General features: G+C 47.6%; 1 protein-coding gene and 1 long non-coding RNA gene across 3 annotated transcripts in view, besides 1 other annotated feature; one reads left to right on the top strand and one right to left on the bottom strand.

Annotated features, from left to right (window-relative positions):
* Positions 1–16450, top strand: part of EHD4 (EH domain containing 4) — a 76625-nt gene that overhangs the window by 15503 nt on the left and 44672 nt on the right. For both annotated transcript variants that reach the window (NM_139265.4, XM_047432408.1), the window contains exons 2-3: positions 3115–3291; positions 13891–13988. In NM_139265.4, coding sequence (NP_644670.1) covers positions 3115–3291; positions 13891–13988 — 275 coding nt within the window. The remainder of the gene's footprint in view (positions 1–3114; positions 3292–13890; positions 13989–16450) is intronic.
* On the bottom strand, positions 390–13948 carry LOC124903477 (uncharacterized). Its single transcript, XR_007064603.1, has 2 exons — positions 13663–13948; positions 390–1801 (listed from the first exon to the last, which is right to left on the bottom strand). It is a non-coding gene; the product is annotated as an uncharacterized LOC124903477 (long non-coding RNA).
* Positions 13822–14679: an enhancer, noted in NCBI's record as "H3K27ac-H3K4me1 hESC enhancer chr15:42234574-42235431 (GRCh37/hg19 assembly coordinates)". NCBI's record gives its function as "activates a minimal SCP1, AML or CMV promoter by ChIP-STARR-seq in naive H9 embryonic stem cells {active_cell/tissue: H9 hESC(naive)}" and the evidence as "EXISTENCE:reporter gene assay evidence [ECO:0000049][PMID:30033119]".

Here is a 16450-nt window from a genome sequence, read left to right as displayed (position 1 = left end):
CCAGCAAGACCCCCATTTTAAAGGCTTCTAACACATGGTGTCAAATTGCTTTTTAGTGAAGTTAGACCAACTTATTCCCCCACCAACATATATAAGGGTGTTTATCTCACAGGACCCTTGCCAGCATTGATGATTCCGAGTTTTCAAAAATTTGTTAATGTGCTCTGTCTTTACTGGTATTTCTTTGATGGTGAAATTGAACACTGAATGTTAACTTTGTATTATCTGTGAAAGTATCACCAAACAAATTGATAATGCAAGCAAGCTTTATAATACAGTAATTCTTCCTAATTCTAGTTCTTCCTCTGTGTCTGAGATCCAGAGATTGATTTACCAAGGTCACAGTCAAAGGGGGACACCTTTGACTTCAAATTATTTCACACTTGAAGCACACTTTAAAAATGATTTATTGTTAAAGGTCTGTCCAGTAGGGTCGCTACTTAGAAAACTCTGGCTTCGATTGCAATATAAACTTGAATGTAGGAAACATCTGCTCTTCTTTAAACAATTTTTTCATTTATATTTTTCCTTGAAACCCCTGTTATTTCAAAAGTAGTGGGATTTGCTGTACTTGTACAGGAATGAAACATCAGAAAGTAATTCAGGCACTCCTCGACAGTGATGTCTGACTTCAACACCTGTGCTGTGTGAGTGATTGTCCAGCTGGGGGACTCACTGCTTAACTACGATATCCGTATGCTCACCTCCCTGGCCCGGAATCTGAAGGGCCTCCTCCTGGCCAGGCTTGGTGAAGGTGCCGAGAAGGGGCCGTGTTGCCGCGAGCCACCCAAGGTGGAGCTCCACACCGAGCTCTTCCCCAAAAAGCACACGCTGCAGTTCTCGTCTGGTTCATCCCTTTAATCAGTGTGTGTGACCTTTTGTAGGCCGTCTTGGCCAGCCCACCGTTGCTATTAGCACTGATTCTGGAGCAAAGTGCCTGTCAAGCTTCAAACCCACTCCCGCACCTCACATTTTCGTGAATTGCGAACTGTGTGTGCTGCGGGGAGCTGGGCGACACTGGCTGCTGTTCTCCCAAGCCCCTCCCTCCCCAGCAGTCTCTCCTCCCTCAGTCATACCAGCCTCCAGACATAGCCCCATCCAGGCCACAGGGCGTAAAAATCAAACTGGACGTGAGTGGAGGCAAGAGTGTGATCTGGCTTTGAATTCCAGCCTCGCTGCTGAATGTCTTCACCCTTGAGATCCCAGAGGGGCTGTAAAACCTAAATTCCACATTCCCATGGGTATATGGAGTCCACACGCTCTGCATCCACTCCATAGAGGCTGGAGTTTCACAGAGTGGGCATCCCTCACAGTAACTTTTACCAGCATTTCTCAGATTTGTGTGGAATGTGTAAGAATTGATCAACACGAACATTTCTAGGCTATTAGGGATACAGAGGTTTTGATGGAGAAACTCTTGAAGATATTTTAAAAATTAAAGCTGAACACATTTTGAAACGGTAGCACCTCCTGAGCCCAGCTTTACTCCAGGGAGAGTAGGGAGAGCTGGCCCTTGTTGTCAGGGTAGCCAGAGGACCGTGCAGGGGGACATTGTGGAGAGCTCTTCCCCTCAGCTGAGAGGAAATGGGGGTCCTCGTCCCTCATGCCAAGTGACACACCCTGGGATGAGGCCCTGAACTTTGCTTTGCTCTTCACCCCTGAGCAAACCACTAACTTGAGGCCATTTCTGAAGACAGTGCAAGTTCTGGAGTCTGAATGCTTGCATTCCATTTCCACTCGAACATCCGCTGTGTGACCTTGGGCAAGCCGCTTGGCCTCTCTGATGCCCCAGTTTTCCCACCTGTAAATAAAACGAGGGTAATGTCATCATCCACCTCAGAGCATGAGGTGAAACAATATAGAAGGCTCAGCGCCATATCAGGAATATAGCAAGCACTCAGTAAATGCCGTGTGCTATTAGCAGATTTTTTTCTCTAAATTTAGAGATAAAAGATATCATCAGATTTACTGTAAATTTAGGAGACATATTTTAATGGTGTATCTATTCTGGGGTGCCACAACTTCACAGAAACGTAGAAACTTTGGATGAAGTGAAAACTAGCAATGACATCAATTAAAGGTTTAGAATATAGCCCGTTAAGGTTGCTAAACAATTTCAGTTTTAGGCCAGTTGCGGTGGCTCATGCCTGTAATCCCAGTACTTTGGGAGGCCAAGGTGAGGGGATAGCTTGAGCCCAGGCATTCAAGACCAGCCTGGGCAACATGGTGAAACCCTGTTTCTACAAAAAATTAGCTAGGCATGGTGGCATGTGTCTGTAGTCCCAGCTACTTGGGAGGCTGAGGCAGGAGGATTGTTGGAGCCCAGGAGGTCGAGGCAGCAGTGAGCCGAGATTGCACCACTGCACTCCAGCCAGCCTGGGCAACAGAGCAAGACCCAGTCTCAAAAAAAAAAATTTTTTTTCAGTTTTATTTACATAGAAAACATAGGTCTAAATGGTGGCTTAATTTCTCATTCTTTTAAAGATGGAAAAATTGTATTTGGCATTTGATAGAATTCAGCACTTTCTCTCTTTCCCTGGAAATAGTCACAGATTGTGGGCTTACATTAGAATCAGTCAAAACTTTTTAGAAACAAAGAAGTAGTTTAGGACCAAATAGATTGTTAGTTGCAGGAATGGGGAGCTGCAGAAGGCTGTGCAGGTTTTTTCCCTTGAGCCCCTTCAAGGCTTATAAGACGAAGATCATCCTCCTGGCATGGTTGGGACATGAGTCTGCCCTCATCAGCTCAGACACCTTGCAGGGCCCATAAACAAGTAATTGTAGTACACATGCTGAGCACCACGCTGGCAGCAGGCACAGGGTGCCCAGGGACCACAAAAGAGGTGTCCCCACATGCAGGTCAGGGAGGCTCCCCTAAGGGAGCTGAGCCTGAGCAGAGCTTCCAGGATGCCCAGGAGCCAGCACGGTACACTTCCCTTGGGGTAGCGTCTGTTGCATCAACAGAAATGCAGAGGAGGATTGCGTGCTTTTCTTGGGGGTTATGTTTCTACGTTTTTAAATGATTATGTAAAAAAATTGGTAATCCCAGGCAGCTTTCTGGCCTCTTACTTTGTGATAAGATGCTAAGCTTTCTCTTCTTCTTCCCTCTCCCAGATACCTACTGGAGCAGGATTTCCCAGGCATGAGGATTGGTCCGGAGCCCACCACAGACTCCTTCATCGCCGTGATGTATGGAGAGACTGAGGGCAGCACCCCAGGGAATGCTTTAGTCGTGGACCCCAAAAAGCCGTTTAGAAAGCTCAGTCGCTTTGGAAACGCTTTCCTGAATCGGTAAGGACCAGCAAGCTGCCATCTTCGGTCAGGCTGTTTAAACCTTTTCTTTGAATTACTGCCAGTTACATATAAAGGTTCAAAAACAGAAGAACAAAGAATCTCTGCTCTAGAAGTCATACAAAATATGTTTATCATATTAAGATATTTGAAAGACTATCATAGGAAATAATCATTTATGCCTATTCTGGGTAACTTGAGAGGGCAGAGCTAAGGCCCAGAACTGGACATTATAAGGCTGCACAGGGCCAGGTGTGTGGCTCGTGCTTGTAATCCAGCACTTTGGGAGGCTGAGGCAAAAGGATTGTTCGAAGCCAGGAGTTTGAGACCAGCTTGGACAACGAAGTAAGACCCTGTCTCTGCAAAAAATTTTAAAAGTTAAAAAATAAAAATGCTTACAGTATAAGGAACAAATTTCTAATAATTTGAGCTGCACAGAAATGGATTAGGCTGCCTCATGAGGCAGTGAGCTCCTCGTCACTGGCAATGTTAAGCACTGGTTAGACAGACACCTCTCAGGCATGGTGCGCTGGGCTTCTGCAGTCAGAGAGCTTAGCCCAGAGGACCCCTAACCTTCACCGGACACTCGGATTTTACCCACTGACTCCAGAACAGGACCCCTCACCTCCCTGGCTGTCCCTTTTGCTTCTCACTCCCAGCTTTGAGCTGTTTCCTTATTCATCAGAGCAGGGCCAGGGAAACAGAGTGAAAAACATGAAAAGCTGATTTTCTTACGTGGTCGTTTTTTTTTTTTTTTTTTTTTTTGCGGGGGGGAAGATAGAGTCTCATTCTGTCTCCCAGGCTGGAGTGCAGTGGCATGATCTCCGCTCACTGCAACCTCCGCCTCCCAGGTTCAAGCAATTCTCCTGCCTCAGCCTCCCAAGTAGCTGGGATTACAGGCACCCACCACCACACCCAGCTAATTTTCGTATTTTTAGTACAGACAGGGTTTCACCATGTTGGCCAAGCTGGTCTCAAACTCCTGACCTCAGGTGATCCACCCGCCTCGCCTTCCCAGAGTGCTGGGATTACAGATGTGAGCCACCACACCCAGCCTACGTGGTCACTATTTTATAGATGTAAAGTTGTGGGGTCACTGAGGTTCTGCCTCACTTGGAGATGTGTTTTATTTGTACTCCTCCCATAACCTTTCATTAGAGTTCCCAGTGGAACTGAGGGCTGCTGGCCTGGGGAAGACAGGCCAGCTGGTACCCCTGGCTACAACTCTGCCCTTTCCCACTGGATCTGCCTTCCTTCCTCCCTCCTGCACCTCCTATTTGCTACCCCTTGCGTTTGTGTAATGCTTTTTTCTTGTTTCCTATCATCCCTCTCCCACCCCTCTATTTCCCTCTTTCCTGGGTCTAGCTTTCGTGTGGCTGATTTGGAGGAGTGGGTTGTAGGAGGCACAGAGCTAGGGAGGGTCATCCGAGCCTCTTTAGGGAGAGGAAGTAGCATTAGAGCTGACAGTCCACATCTCCTTTCTAGAAGTTTTTAAAAATAGGAACGGATCCTCCCAGCCGGCTGCTGTCCTCCCAAAGGCCGAAGCGCCTCATCGCGCAGCTCCAGGGGCACCATTCATGTGGCCTGGGGAATGAATGATGTGCTGGATGCTGTGCACTGGCTCGGCTGAGGGCCACCCAGGCCCCTCCGCAGGTGCCTTCTGTGGAAGATGGAACTCTCCGGGGAGCTGAATTCTCCATTAGGGGCTTTTTGATGATCCTATTGCAAATCAAAGAAAGCAACCAGGGAACTTGGCAGTGGGATGAACAGAAACCTGCAGGTGATGTGGAAGGAGTCCCAGAGGAGTTCCATCTTATTACTGATGGTGATAGGAACACTGTCCAGGTGATTTTTTTCCAACCTGCAGGGCTGACTTTTCTAGGAGGAGTTTACTCTTCAACTCCAGAGCTGACTTGGTTGGCACCAGAGTGTCTCATTGTGGGAGAGGGGGTTAAGCCCTGGGCGGGAGAACCCCAGAGGGTCAACTCTCCAGATCTCTCAGGACAGAGTGGCCCAGGGTGGAGGGGAAGTAGACCAGAACAGGAGGCCCCAGAAAGTTCAAGGCACAGGATCTGTCTCTGTGGAAGGCTTCCCTGGGGTCCTCTGGTTTCATTGCCACTGCCCTTTGTCTGGGGCTCTTTTTGCCCAACAAAGGCTTAACGAAATAAGCTGCCAGTTTTTTCAAATTCCCACTTTGTGAAGTCTGAATTCACAAGGGAGAAACCAGGAAGAGTGGTTATTGGCTTGCTTTATTTTGGCAAATGATTTACTTTCCTAACAAAAAAAAAAAATGTTTTTTTCTTCTCAAATCCCAAGCACATGACAGATGAGTACAGAAAAGAAATTTTTAGGAACGATTTTGAATGGCAAAGCTCTTGTCTCAGAATTTAAAACTTGCTGAAAATAATCCATGCCTTATAATAAAAGCAAGTGTCAGTTGAATTCAGAATAACATATAGAAAAATAATAGCAAATAATTATATGGCATTTATGTGTCAGATTCTGTTCTAGACTTGTGTATTAGCTTTAAATCCTCACAGAACCCCTGTGACATGATGCTACTGTTATCCTCAATGGAGGGGGAGGAATCAAGGCATAAAGAGGTTACTTTAATTTCTGGGGGTCACTCCACCAGTGAGATCAGTGCTGGGACTGGAACCCAGGCCAGCTGACCAATAGTATGATGTTTGGACTGGGAATCACTGCCCAGTGCCCCCTATTTAACTCTTAGGGTTAGGGTTAGGGTTAGGGTTAGGGTTAGTAAGGCTGTTCCTAATGTAGCCCTCCAGTAATGATGATGAAGATGACGGTGATTATGTCCCAAGTCATCACTTACGTAATTTCATGTACATTATTCTTTTGGCGTTGATAACACAGACAATACTGTTGCCAATCTACAAATGAGAAGGCCGAAAGCAAAGACATGACTTGCTCAGGGAGAGGCCATCAGGAAGAGGCAGAGAGGGGATTGGAATCCAGTGTTCCCCTTCTCCCCTGTCCCACACCCTATGCCTCTGCTCAGCATCGGCCAAGAGGAGTTTCTGTCCTTCTAGCCAAGTGTGTGTCAGGCTCACGTGTAAGGGACATGCCTCATGTAAACTCATAGCTACTTAAGAGTAAACAGCCTCATTAAGTAGTATCCACAGGACAGTGCCACTGCATCACACAGCAGTTATTTAAGAAAGAGTCAATTAGTTAGGGCGTTCAAATATGTGTACATAATTATAGCTTCCGTCTGGGAACAGCACAGGGTTAGTACTAGAGGCAAACCTCTTTTCACATAGCATACTTCTCTGGGAACTAGGTCAAAATGTAACACCTAGTAAAGAAAATTGCTTGTTTTCTGCGGAGAACTTTCTCTCCCAAGCAGCCACACCAGAATCTCCCTGTGACAGATCGTTATTACCTGGCCTTCTCCTTAAGGAGTGCTGGCTTGGGCATCTGCCCCCAGGGGCATCTTTAAAAGAGTTAAGTACCAGGTGATACCTGGAGGGGGACAACACCCTCCACCATTAAGCAAACCAGCAAAGCCCGAGTCACAGCCTCCCAGGCTGGCTTCTAAGGAGCGACAAGGGGTCTATGGTGCATTTCTGAGAAATGAAGATAAATTCCTAAAAAGGTTTATATTAGAGAAATTCCATACTTGAACAATAAAAGGAGTTTAGAACACACAGAGGTCTATGGAAATGGCTTTAGTGAGACATTCTGAAACTCTAGCAGACTGCTGTGCTCACGACGAATTCCTCAGTGGCCCATCTGGGAGCAGCTCTGGGGAGGTGCTTGTTGACATTCCAGAGGTTGCTATCAGGAGGCAGTTGCCCCTCACAGAGGAGGAGACAGCCAAGGGCACCCAGAGCATTGGATCCTCTGAGACGCCAGGGAAGTGCCAGGCATTGGGGTCTGACATTTCCCCTTGCAGTCTGCTTTTGAATAAGATGTTATGTTATTCCTCAGTCTCCTTTTCTAAAAAATGGTAATGTGTATATTTTCAAATTCAGATAGCTGTAGACATTTTTTGTCTAGGATCTAGTATTATTTTAAATTGTTATCTTCCACAGAAGAAATTCTTAATCTCATGTACTTCCTCATTGCCTCTGTTTCTTTCTAAAAAATAACTTGAATCACTGGCCCTGGGAATTGAAATTTTGAAACTTCCCTTTGAGCTGAAGGAATGTGAACAGCCCTTCCAGGGCTCAGTCATTTTAGCTGGGCCTGATGATGGTGATGATAAACAACCACTGTGTTATGCTTGAATGGTGATTCCCCCATCATAAAATACGCAGGTGTATTATTGACCTTCTACTCCATTTGTTACTTCTGTATTTGTAATTAAGCGAGGCTTCACTCAGTTTAGCTTTTGAGTTTTGATTTTATTTTATTATTATTATTTTTTTGAGATGGAGTCTTGCTCTGTCACCCAGGCTGGAGTGCAGCTGCGCAATCTCGGCTCACTGCAACCTCTGCCTCCCGGGTTGAAGTGATTCTCCTCTCTCAGCCTCCCGAGTAGCTGGGATTACAGGTGCCCACCTCCATGCCCAGCTACTTTTTGTATTTTTAGTAGAGATGAGGTTTCACCATGTTGGCGAGGCTGGTCTTGAATTCCTGACCTCAGGTGATCCACCTGCCTCGGCCTCCCAAAGTGCTGGGATTACAGGCATGAGCCACCATGCCTGGCCAAATTTATGTATATGTATGTGTGTGTGTATGTGTGTATATATATATATATATATATATATATATATATATAGTCTCACTCTGTTGCCCAGGCTGGAGCGCGGAGGCACGATCACAGCTCACTGCAGCCTCAACTTCTGCTCCAGCAATCCTCCCACCTCAGCTTCCCGATTGCTGGGACGACAGGCGTGTGTCACCATGCCCAGCTAATTTTTGTATTTTTTGTAAAGACAGGGTTTTGCCATATTGGCCAGGCTGGTCTTGAACTCCTGGGCCCAAGCAGTCTACCCGCCTTGGCCTCCCAGAGTGCTGGGATTACAGGCATGAGACACTGTGCCTAGCCAAGTTTTGAATATTTGATAGTCACTGTGTACCACTGGGAATTTTTAAAAACTGACTTACTAAAGTTCACAGCATCAGTCCAAGCACGTGCGGCTTCCCCCAGCCAATTTAGCTGCAGAAATTAAGGAAAACAGGCTTTTGCCAAGAATGACTCTTGATTCACCAGCAAAATAATTTTTTTTTAATCTGAGGGAATAACTGGGTTGTCTTGTGCATGTGTATTGTGGTTCATTTATCTATAATAAACTTGCTGAAGCTTTCCCCATTATTCTTTAACCTCAAGATTTGTTGGCCAGCCACGGTGGCTCACACCTATAATCCCAGCACTTTGGGAGGCCGAGGCAGGCCGATCACTTGAGCTCAGGAGTTTGAGACCAACCTGGGCAACATAGCGAGAGACCTTGTCCCTAAAAAAATAACAATAATAAAAAAGATTTGTGGTGGTTCCCTGGGTGGTAGTTCCCTGGTCACTAAACCATCGTGGTTTTTTTTTTGGAGGCGGAGTCTTGCTCCATCACCTATGCTGGAGTGCAGTGGCGCAATCTTGGCTCACTGCAAACTCTGCCTCCCGGGTTCAAGCAATTCTCTGCCTCAGCCTCCCGAGTAGCTGTGATTACAGGTGCTCACCACCACACCCGGCTAATTTTTGTATTTTTAGTACAGACAGGGTTTCACTGTGTTGGCCAGGCTGATTTGAACTCCTGACCTCGTGATCCACCTGCCTTGGCCTCCCAAAGTGCTGGGATTACAGGCGTGAGCCACCGCGCCTGGCCTAAACCATTGTTCTTGACTAGCAGCTGCCTGTACATTTCTGGTCCTGACATTCCAGAAATGCCTTTCTCCCTGGGGTCAGGCAGACCTTCCTGGCTGGGCCATTGCACTGGGCTTTCCCCTGTGGCAGTCAGGAGGGGATTTATAAAAGTACATATTTAGGTTGAACCATATGAAATTGGCAGTCTTAAATAATCTTTAACCTTTAAAAGTGGTAATTAGTTTCAATCTAATAGGGCAACCAGGGGCTTTGCTGTAATCTGGATGTGAAATTCAGTTCCTAGTTCTTCCTAGGCACTGGAAGATAAGATTAGCCATTTGTGGTAGGACCATATAATAAGAATTATTACAGTTCAGTTGTCAAAGTCTTTTTTGTGGGTTGTGTTCTATTTACTGTGCAAATTTAGGAAGTTGTATTATCTCTCTGGTTTTACCCTCATCAATAAAGTGGGCTGGGGTGAAAAGAAGTACTTTGAAACAATTCTATACTCTCTCCGCTGTAAGCTTAGGTTTATTTGAACCTAATGGCAAACCTGGAAGTCCGCAGGCCTGGTAGAATTGCTCAGAGAGGTTTAGAGACCTGTGCAAGGTCAAGGTCTCAGAATGAGTAAGGGAGACGTCTGGAGCCTAAATCTCCTACCTCCTGTTCCCCACCCTGACAGACACTCCACACCACTAGGTAGAGAGCAAACCACACAAGGAAGCCTCTTAGGGGCAAGTTCCAGGGCTGTGGCACGTCACCCCTTTGTTTTAGGATGTTGCCCTGCACATGATATGCCACACAGCAGTGGTTCCAGTGTGTGCCATGGTGATAGTAGCCCAGGAGTGAAGAACCTGGGCTCTGCAGTCAGCACTGCCAAGTTCATGTCCCAGCTCCATCACTTCTCAGCATGTTATGGCATGTGTCTGCTCTGTGCCCAGTCTCCTCCTCTAAATGCAGAGGCTCACAGCCCTACCTGTAAGGCTGCAGTAAGGCTGGAGTTAATGTGCATGGAAAGTACTTCAAACTGTGCCTGACACCCAGTAAGAGGTGAGGAAATGTTTGTGCTATTTTATTATTATTATAACTGCTACAGATATTACTGTTTTGTTGAGAAATCAAAATCAGTATTAAGGTACTGTCTGGTTCTTCTAAAAGTCTAGTTTTTAAAATGCTGATCATTTAATTGGAATTTTAGTGTTTGGGGGAAATTTTAAGTAATCTCCTTGCCCCCTCCTTCTGTAGATATGTATGTATGTATGTATTTATCTGAGACAGGGTCTCACTCTGTTGCACAGGCTGTAGTGCACTGGCACCATCAAAGCTCACTGCAGCTCCGACCTCCTGGGCTCAAGCCATCCTCCCACCTCAGGCTCCTGAGTAGCTGGGACTACAAGCGCATGCCACCATGCCCGGCTAATTTTATTTTTTGTAGAGACGAAGTCTCATTATGGTGCCCAGGCTGGTCTTGAACTCCTGGGTTCAAGAGATCGTCCCCACTCAGCCTCCAAAGTGCTGGGATTACAGGGAGAGTCATGGTGCCTGGCTTTGCTCTCTCCTTTTACTGTGTGGCAGGACTCCTAGCAGCTTGCCTGAGACCTCATAGCCTGGACCATTACTTTATCCCCCATCTCTGCTACCCCTGGCCCTTCCTTAGACGTGGAGAGGATATGGAGTTGAGGGGGCAGCCTAGGATCTTCAGTTGCTCCGTCTTCTTCTCTTACTTCAGAAGACAACATTTATCAGGTCATCCTCGGGTGAGGGCCATGTGAGGCTCCTGGGTTGAACCAGCATGTGTCTGCATATTTTACGTGAAATGTAGAGGGCAAGGCACAGATCCTCCTTGTGTTAATCTCCCCAGGAAGGAGTAGGAAATCCATCTTGGGACAGCAAATCTGTGCTTGGAAGCATTTCAATAAGCTGGGCCGGCCAGGGCCCCCTTACTGGGTGTCAGGCACCGTTCAAAGCACTTTCCGTGCACATTAACTCCAGGCTCACCACAACCTTACAGGTAGGGCTGTGAACCTCTGCTTATAAAGGAGGAGACTGGGCGCAGAGGAGTCACACGACATACCTTGCCCAGTCCCACGGCTGTGAGTTGATGGGGTCGGGACATGAACTTGGCAGTGCTGACTGCAGAGCCCAGGTTCTTCACTACTGGGCTACGACTACCACTGCACTGCTGTTATACACACAGCAAGTACGTTTGCCGTGCGCCTCCCTTTCTCAGAGAAGAAGCATGAGGCATGATTGCTAGAACACCATTAGGATTTTTTCTGATCCCAGCATAACTTCGTACGAATGCATTCATATGCAGTTGTCACCTCGCAGCATGAGCGTGGCACCACAGGGTCTCAATGCTCCTTTCTGTTCTCTTGCCTGCCCCTCACCCCTGGACACTGTCTTTCAGGGAGCAGAGTCCAGCTGTGCACCCAAAACCCCAGCTGCCCACTCTTGAGGTGCCCCAGCCAAAGCTCTCCCTCCGCCTCCACCTGCTGCTCCTCATCCTCTCTTTTTCAGCCATCCTGGGCTCCTCGCTTTGCCCGCTTGTATGCCATGTGGTGACGTCAGCACATCTCACGGTGGCTTGCTCTGTGGCTCCCGTGCCTGGCCTCTGCTGTCATGTCAGGAGGCCTGGGAGCTGTGGAAAGGCTGTCACTTTATACACAGGGAGTGAACAGTGTGCAAATTTTGAATCCCTCTGTTAGCCTCACCTGAGAATCTAGGGGGTGGCTGTTTTGGAAAAATGGATATTGAGTGTGAGCTTGTGGTTTGGGGAAAAGATCAGCCTGTCCACGGGAATGGTTTGCAGAAAATTGTTTCACGTAGGTGTGATATGTTCAGCTCCGCCAGATGTCTCGGGCCATCTGATGGAAAGAATGGGACGGCACTGAGAGACAATCATTCCTGACAAGAAACGAGGTTCACCACGGATGTGCCCAGAGCCCTGTTCCCACCCCAATTCTAGAGAATTGAATAATGGCATGGTGGGGTTTTTTCTGTGAACTTACAAAGAATGCTTGGTGAGCCTCATGTGCTTTATTCCCACAAACCTCTCCCCGTGTTGGGTAGTAGGGTTTATTTAAAGGTTGGGGTACAGGAGGGGACTGTGCACAAGTGTCTGCAGACAGGTGGAAATTGGGGGCTTCTCTTCCACTAACTTGACCCTTTACTTTTAATGTTATGAGGTTTTTAACTTTGTGGGTTAAATTCCACCCCACTGACATCAGAAACAGTAGGTTGCAGTCTGCAACCAGCCGTGCATTAGCAGCATGGCCTCAGAATGTCATAACTGCTTTGTGCTTCAACTTTTCCACCTGCAAAAGGATCCTAATGTCTTTTTCTATATCTTCCTGGGCCGATTTGAAAATGTAGGAAAGACTGTGTGAAAAATCGTATCCCAAGCCCCTTCAGAGAAAGTGATTTTGAAATGTCAGTAACGGCCGCTCATACCCAGGGCTGTGGTGTCCACATGTGCACTGTGGAGGCTGGCCAGGCCTCCCTGTCCTGCATTCCCAGCATTTTTACTTTGTGAGTAATCCCCACCACTTCCATCGTACGGAAGAATTGAGCTTTTAGCTTTCTGCCCACACAGACACAGATGTCAGCCATCCATAGTAAAGGAAAAGGAGAGGCATTCTACACTTTCTGCCTTAAACATGCACAGTGCCTCACAAAGGTCCATCCCAGACCCTGGTGCCCAGGGTGGAAGTAACAAAGCACTTCCTGCCATCACTTTTGGAGTTACTCAGTCTGAAAGCTAAAAGGACATCGCCAGACCCTGTCGGGAAGCCACCATTTTCATGTGAGGAACCCAAGACCCAGAGCAGGGAGGCCCTTACCCAGAGTCCCATAGCAGATTATCAGGAAACGCTGGGCAGAACTTGAACCCAGGTCTGCTGACCCACAGGCTAGATTTTTCCTCCGCACTCTGCTTCCGTGGAGTGGATACAAGGGCAGTGACTACAGGGAAAGGGACCAGGATCAGGAGGAGGAGATGGTATCAGGCAAATGAGGAACAAGAGGGGCCTAAAGATGCTCAGCCAGGGCCTTCCCCAACCTGGTCCCCTCACCTACTCTCCAGCTCCCCTAGACTCCTAAGCACCTGGAGGATGTTGGGTGTCACAGGTGCCTGCCCCTCCCTGGCCCTAAAGCCATAGGGGACACTGGGCTGGATGCTAAGTTCCTGGGGCATCAGATGGGGAAACAGGCCCCAGTCCCTTCAGCTTTCATGCTAGGAAATAGGCAGGGAGCTTGGGGCTCTCCAGCCCAGTGGGCCAGTGCATCCTGAAGAAGGCATGGGATTCCCAGGGGGAGAGGCCCAGGATGCTTGGGCAGGGGCCAGCATGGAGCCAGGAGAGGTGAGGCCCATGGCTTTGGAGGCAGGCTGACCTTGGTTTAAGGCACCGCTCTGAGTGACCCTGAGCATTACTTAACCTCTCTTATGTTAAGCATAATTCCTTCACCTCATGAGGTCAATATGAGGATCAAATGAGAGGATATTTGTAAGATACCTGCATGTTCAATAAATGTTAGCTAAAATCAAAATGAACAGAAAGGCATCAGGTGGCAGATGGCAGCAGGTGCTTGTGCACCTCTCATACCTGTCCCATGGGCCAGCATCTGTTCTCTGTGGCTGGATGGAGGTGCTATCAATCTCCTCCAAGCTCCTACTTCACAAACAACTTCATTAGGCATCCTCAGTTTCTGTCAGTCTCCTTCAGGCCCCCACTTTACAGATGTCAGTAAGCCCAGAGAGGCCAAGAAGCCCCATGGTTGGAGCACTCTGTGATGCCCAGTTTCTGACCCCTCCTTTGATCCGTCTCTTCCAGATTCATGTGCTCACAGCTCCCCAATCAGGTCCTGAAGAGCATCAGCGTCATCGACAGCCCCGGCATCCTTTCTGGGGAGAAGCAGCGCATCAGCCGAGGTCAGTGCCTGTCCCTGCCCCTCCCCACCAAGTGCTGGCTGAGGCCCTCTCTGCTGTGAGCAGAGGATTTCTGTCCCTATATTATTCTATCCGTCCTCCAGGACAGCTGTTGGGCAGCTGAAGGGGCCCCAAGTGTCAACCAGGAGTTCATAGCATCAAAGACTCTGCCCCCTCCAGAGGCTTATATTCTGTGAGAAAGACATTTGTCAAGTTACACATGAGTAAATGAAGATGAGGAGTGGGGTAAACAATGGGAGGTATCGAGGTGTGAGGGGACCTGGCTTGGCCTCGGGGGTGTTGGGAGAGGCTCCTGGAGGAAGCAGCATTGGAACTAGGATCTGAAGGAGTAGGAATTACCTAAGGGAAGCTGTGGGGTAGGGAGAGATTATGAAGCATTCAGAGGGGATCTGTGAAGGATAGAAAATGCTTGTGCCGAAGCATAAGTTTCTCCAGCCTTCACAAGACAAGGCTGAGGCAATAGCTGCTTCTAGGCCTGTGCTTTGTAGTCAAAACAGATGGGTCTGCTGGGTAGAGTGGCTCACGCCTGTAATCCCAGCACTTTAGGAGGCCGAGGCAGGTGGATCAGCTGAGGTCAGGAGTTCGAGAAGAGCCTGGCCAACATGGTGAAACCCCATCTCTACTAAAAATACAAAAATTAGCTGGGCATGGTGGTGGGCACCTATAGTCCCAGCTACTCGGAAGGCTGAGGCACGAGAGCTGAACCTGGGAGGCGGAGGTTGCGGAGAGCTGAGATCATGCCATGGCACTCTAGCCTGTGGGCAAAAGAGCGAAACTCCGTCTCAAAAAAAAAAAAAAAAACAAAAAACCGGTGGGCCTGCTATCTCCCTCCGTCCTGGAGGAAGGGGGCATCAGGGGCAGACCAGAGGACAGAGTTGACTTACGGAGAGGAAATGCCTGATCGGGAGGGTCAGGATGGGTTCCTGCCATCACAGGTCCAGAGGCAGCTCAAGTCTTTTCCTTGCCCTGGCCCTTGAAACAAAGGCGGGTTGCTGGGAGGGAGGAGATGGAGCAGATGCATCGCTGCCATCACTTCTGGCTGAGAACTCTTCACAACCCCTTGAACAGCAAGTCGGTAGCACCGTGCTGAGAAGTCTGGGCATGCCAGGGTTGAGCAGAAGCCTGTGTGGGGTCACGGTCGCAGGTTATGACAAGGCAGTGAACACCCCACAGCTCACAAAGCAGAAGTGCAGTTACATAGGCCAGTGAGGGTCCCGTGACAGGGGTCAAGAAAGGGATTCCGAGGCCAATAAGCCCTCCTTTCTCTTGGCATTTTGGGAATGCCATCTCTGCTGCTCCGTGGTCCCGCAGAGAGCTCGGGGCTATGCTGAGCCGAGGCCTCCCAGGGTGCCTGCTGTGCCTTCACTGTTTCAGTCAGGGACTTGCCAGCTATGGAATGCCATTAAGGTCACCTTTCCCGGGCCTCCAAGAACCTTGCAATTATGAAAAAAAAACAAAAAAAAAAACACCAAAAAACAGGTTAATGCTATTCATAAATATCTTGTTGGCTTTATTTTCTATTATAAAAGTATAGATGTTTATGGCAAAGGATTCAGTCAATGAATAAGAATTTAAAAAAAACTCACTGTCACATTTAACAATTATTAATGGTTTTCTCTCACTTCTTAGAGACTTTTTCCTGCGCATATGCAAACACATTTCTAATAGAAATGGGATTACCATGCACATTTTCTACACCTTGATTTTTCTTCATAACAGTCTACCTTGGACATCATTCCATGCCAGTATATTCAGATTATTTCATTCCTTTTAATAGCTACTTGGGTTCCATGAAAGTGACATAATATAGTTCATTTTGCTGATTTGTGGACATCATGATGGTTAATCAGTTTTTATGCTTACAAATAGTGCTGTGGATGGTCGTCTTTTTATGTGTGTCTTTACACCTCAGTGCCAATCAATTTTTTTTTTTAAGAGTCAGTTGAGGACCATTAATTTAGCCCCAGAAAGGTTGCTCTGCAGATAGTATGGATAATAAAGCAGGCCCATGTTCCACAGCTATTCTGAGCTGCCCGTGTTTCACTGCTTCTCCATTTCTGACTGAATATGCTGGAGAAATATGTGGTCCTGCTAACTCTTTCTTTTTACCTCTAAATTTTAAGGCCTCCGGATTTTGGCTCCCACCATATGCATTTGTTTTCATTGGTAGGCCTTTAGCCAGTTCTGTTCACCTGAGTCTTGCAGCGTCTCTCCTTTGCTTAGTAATCGTGTCTTTCAAACTGTAGCTCCCTTACAATAGTGTTGACACGTGGATTAATGCTTCCAGAATGCTTTGAAGATCAGTTCTTTGTATCACTTTATAATATGATCTGACTCATATCCTGGTCTGACTTACTATGGCATGTACTTACTCACATCCTATGCACAGAAATAGCATATATGTTCCAGCCAGTCGGCGGTCCCTGCCACACCGACGGACACAG

This window comes from Homo sapiens, chromosome 15 (assembly GCF_000001405.40).
Source record: "Homo sapiens chromosome 15, GRCh38.p14 Primary Assembly".
Taxonomy (NCBI): Eukaryota; Metazoa; Chordata; class Mammalia; order Primates; family Hominidae; genus Homo; species Homo sapiens.
This window is presented reverse-complemented; position numbering and strand designations above follow the sequence as displayed.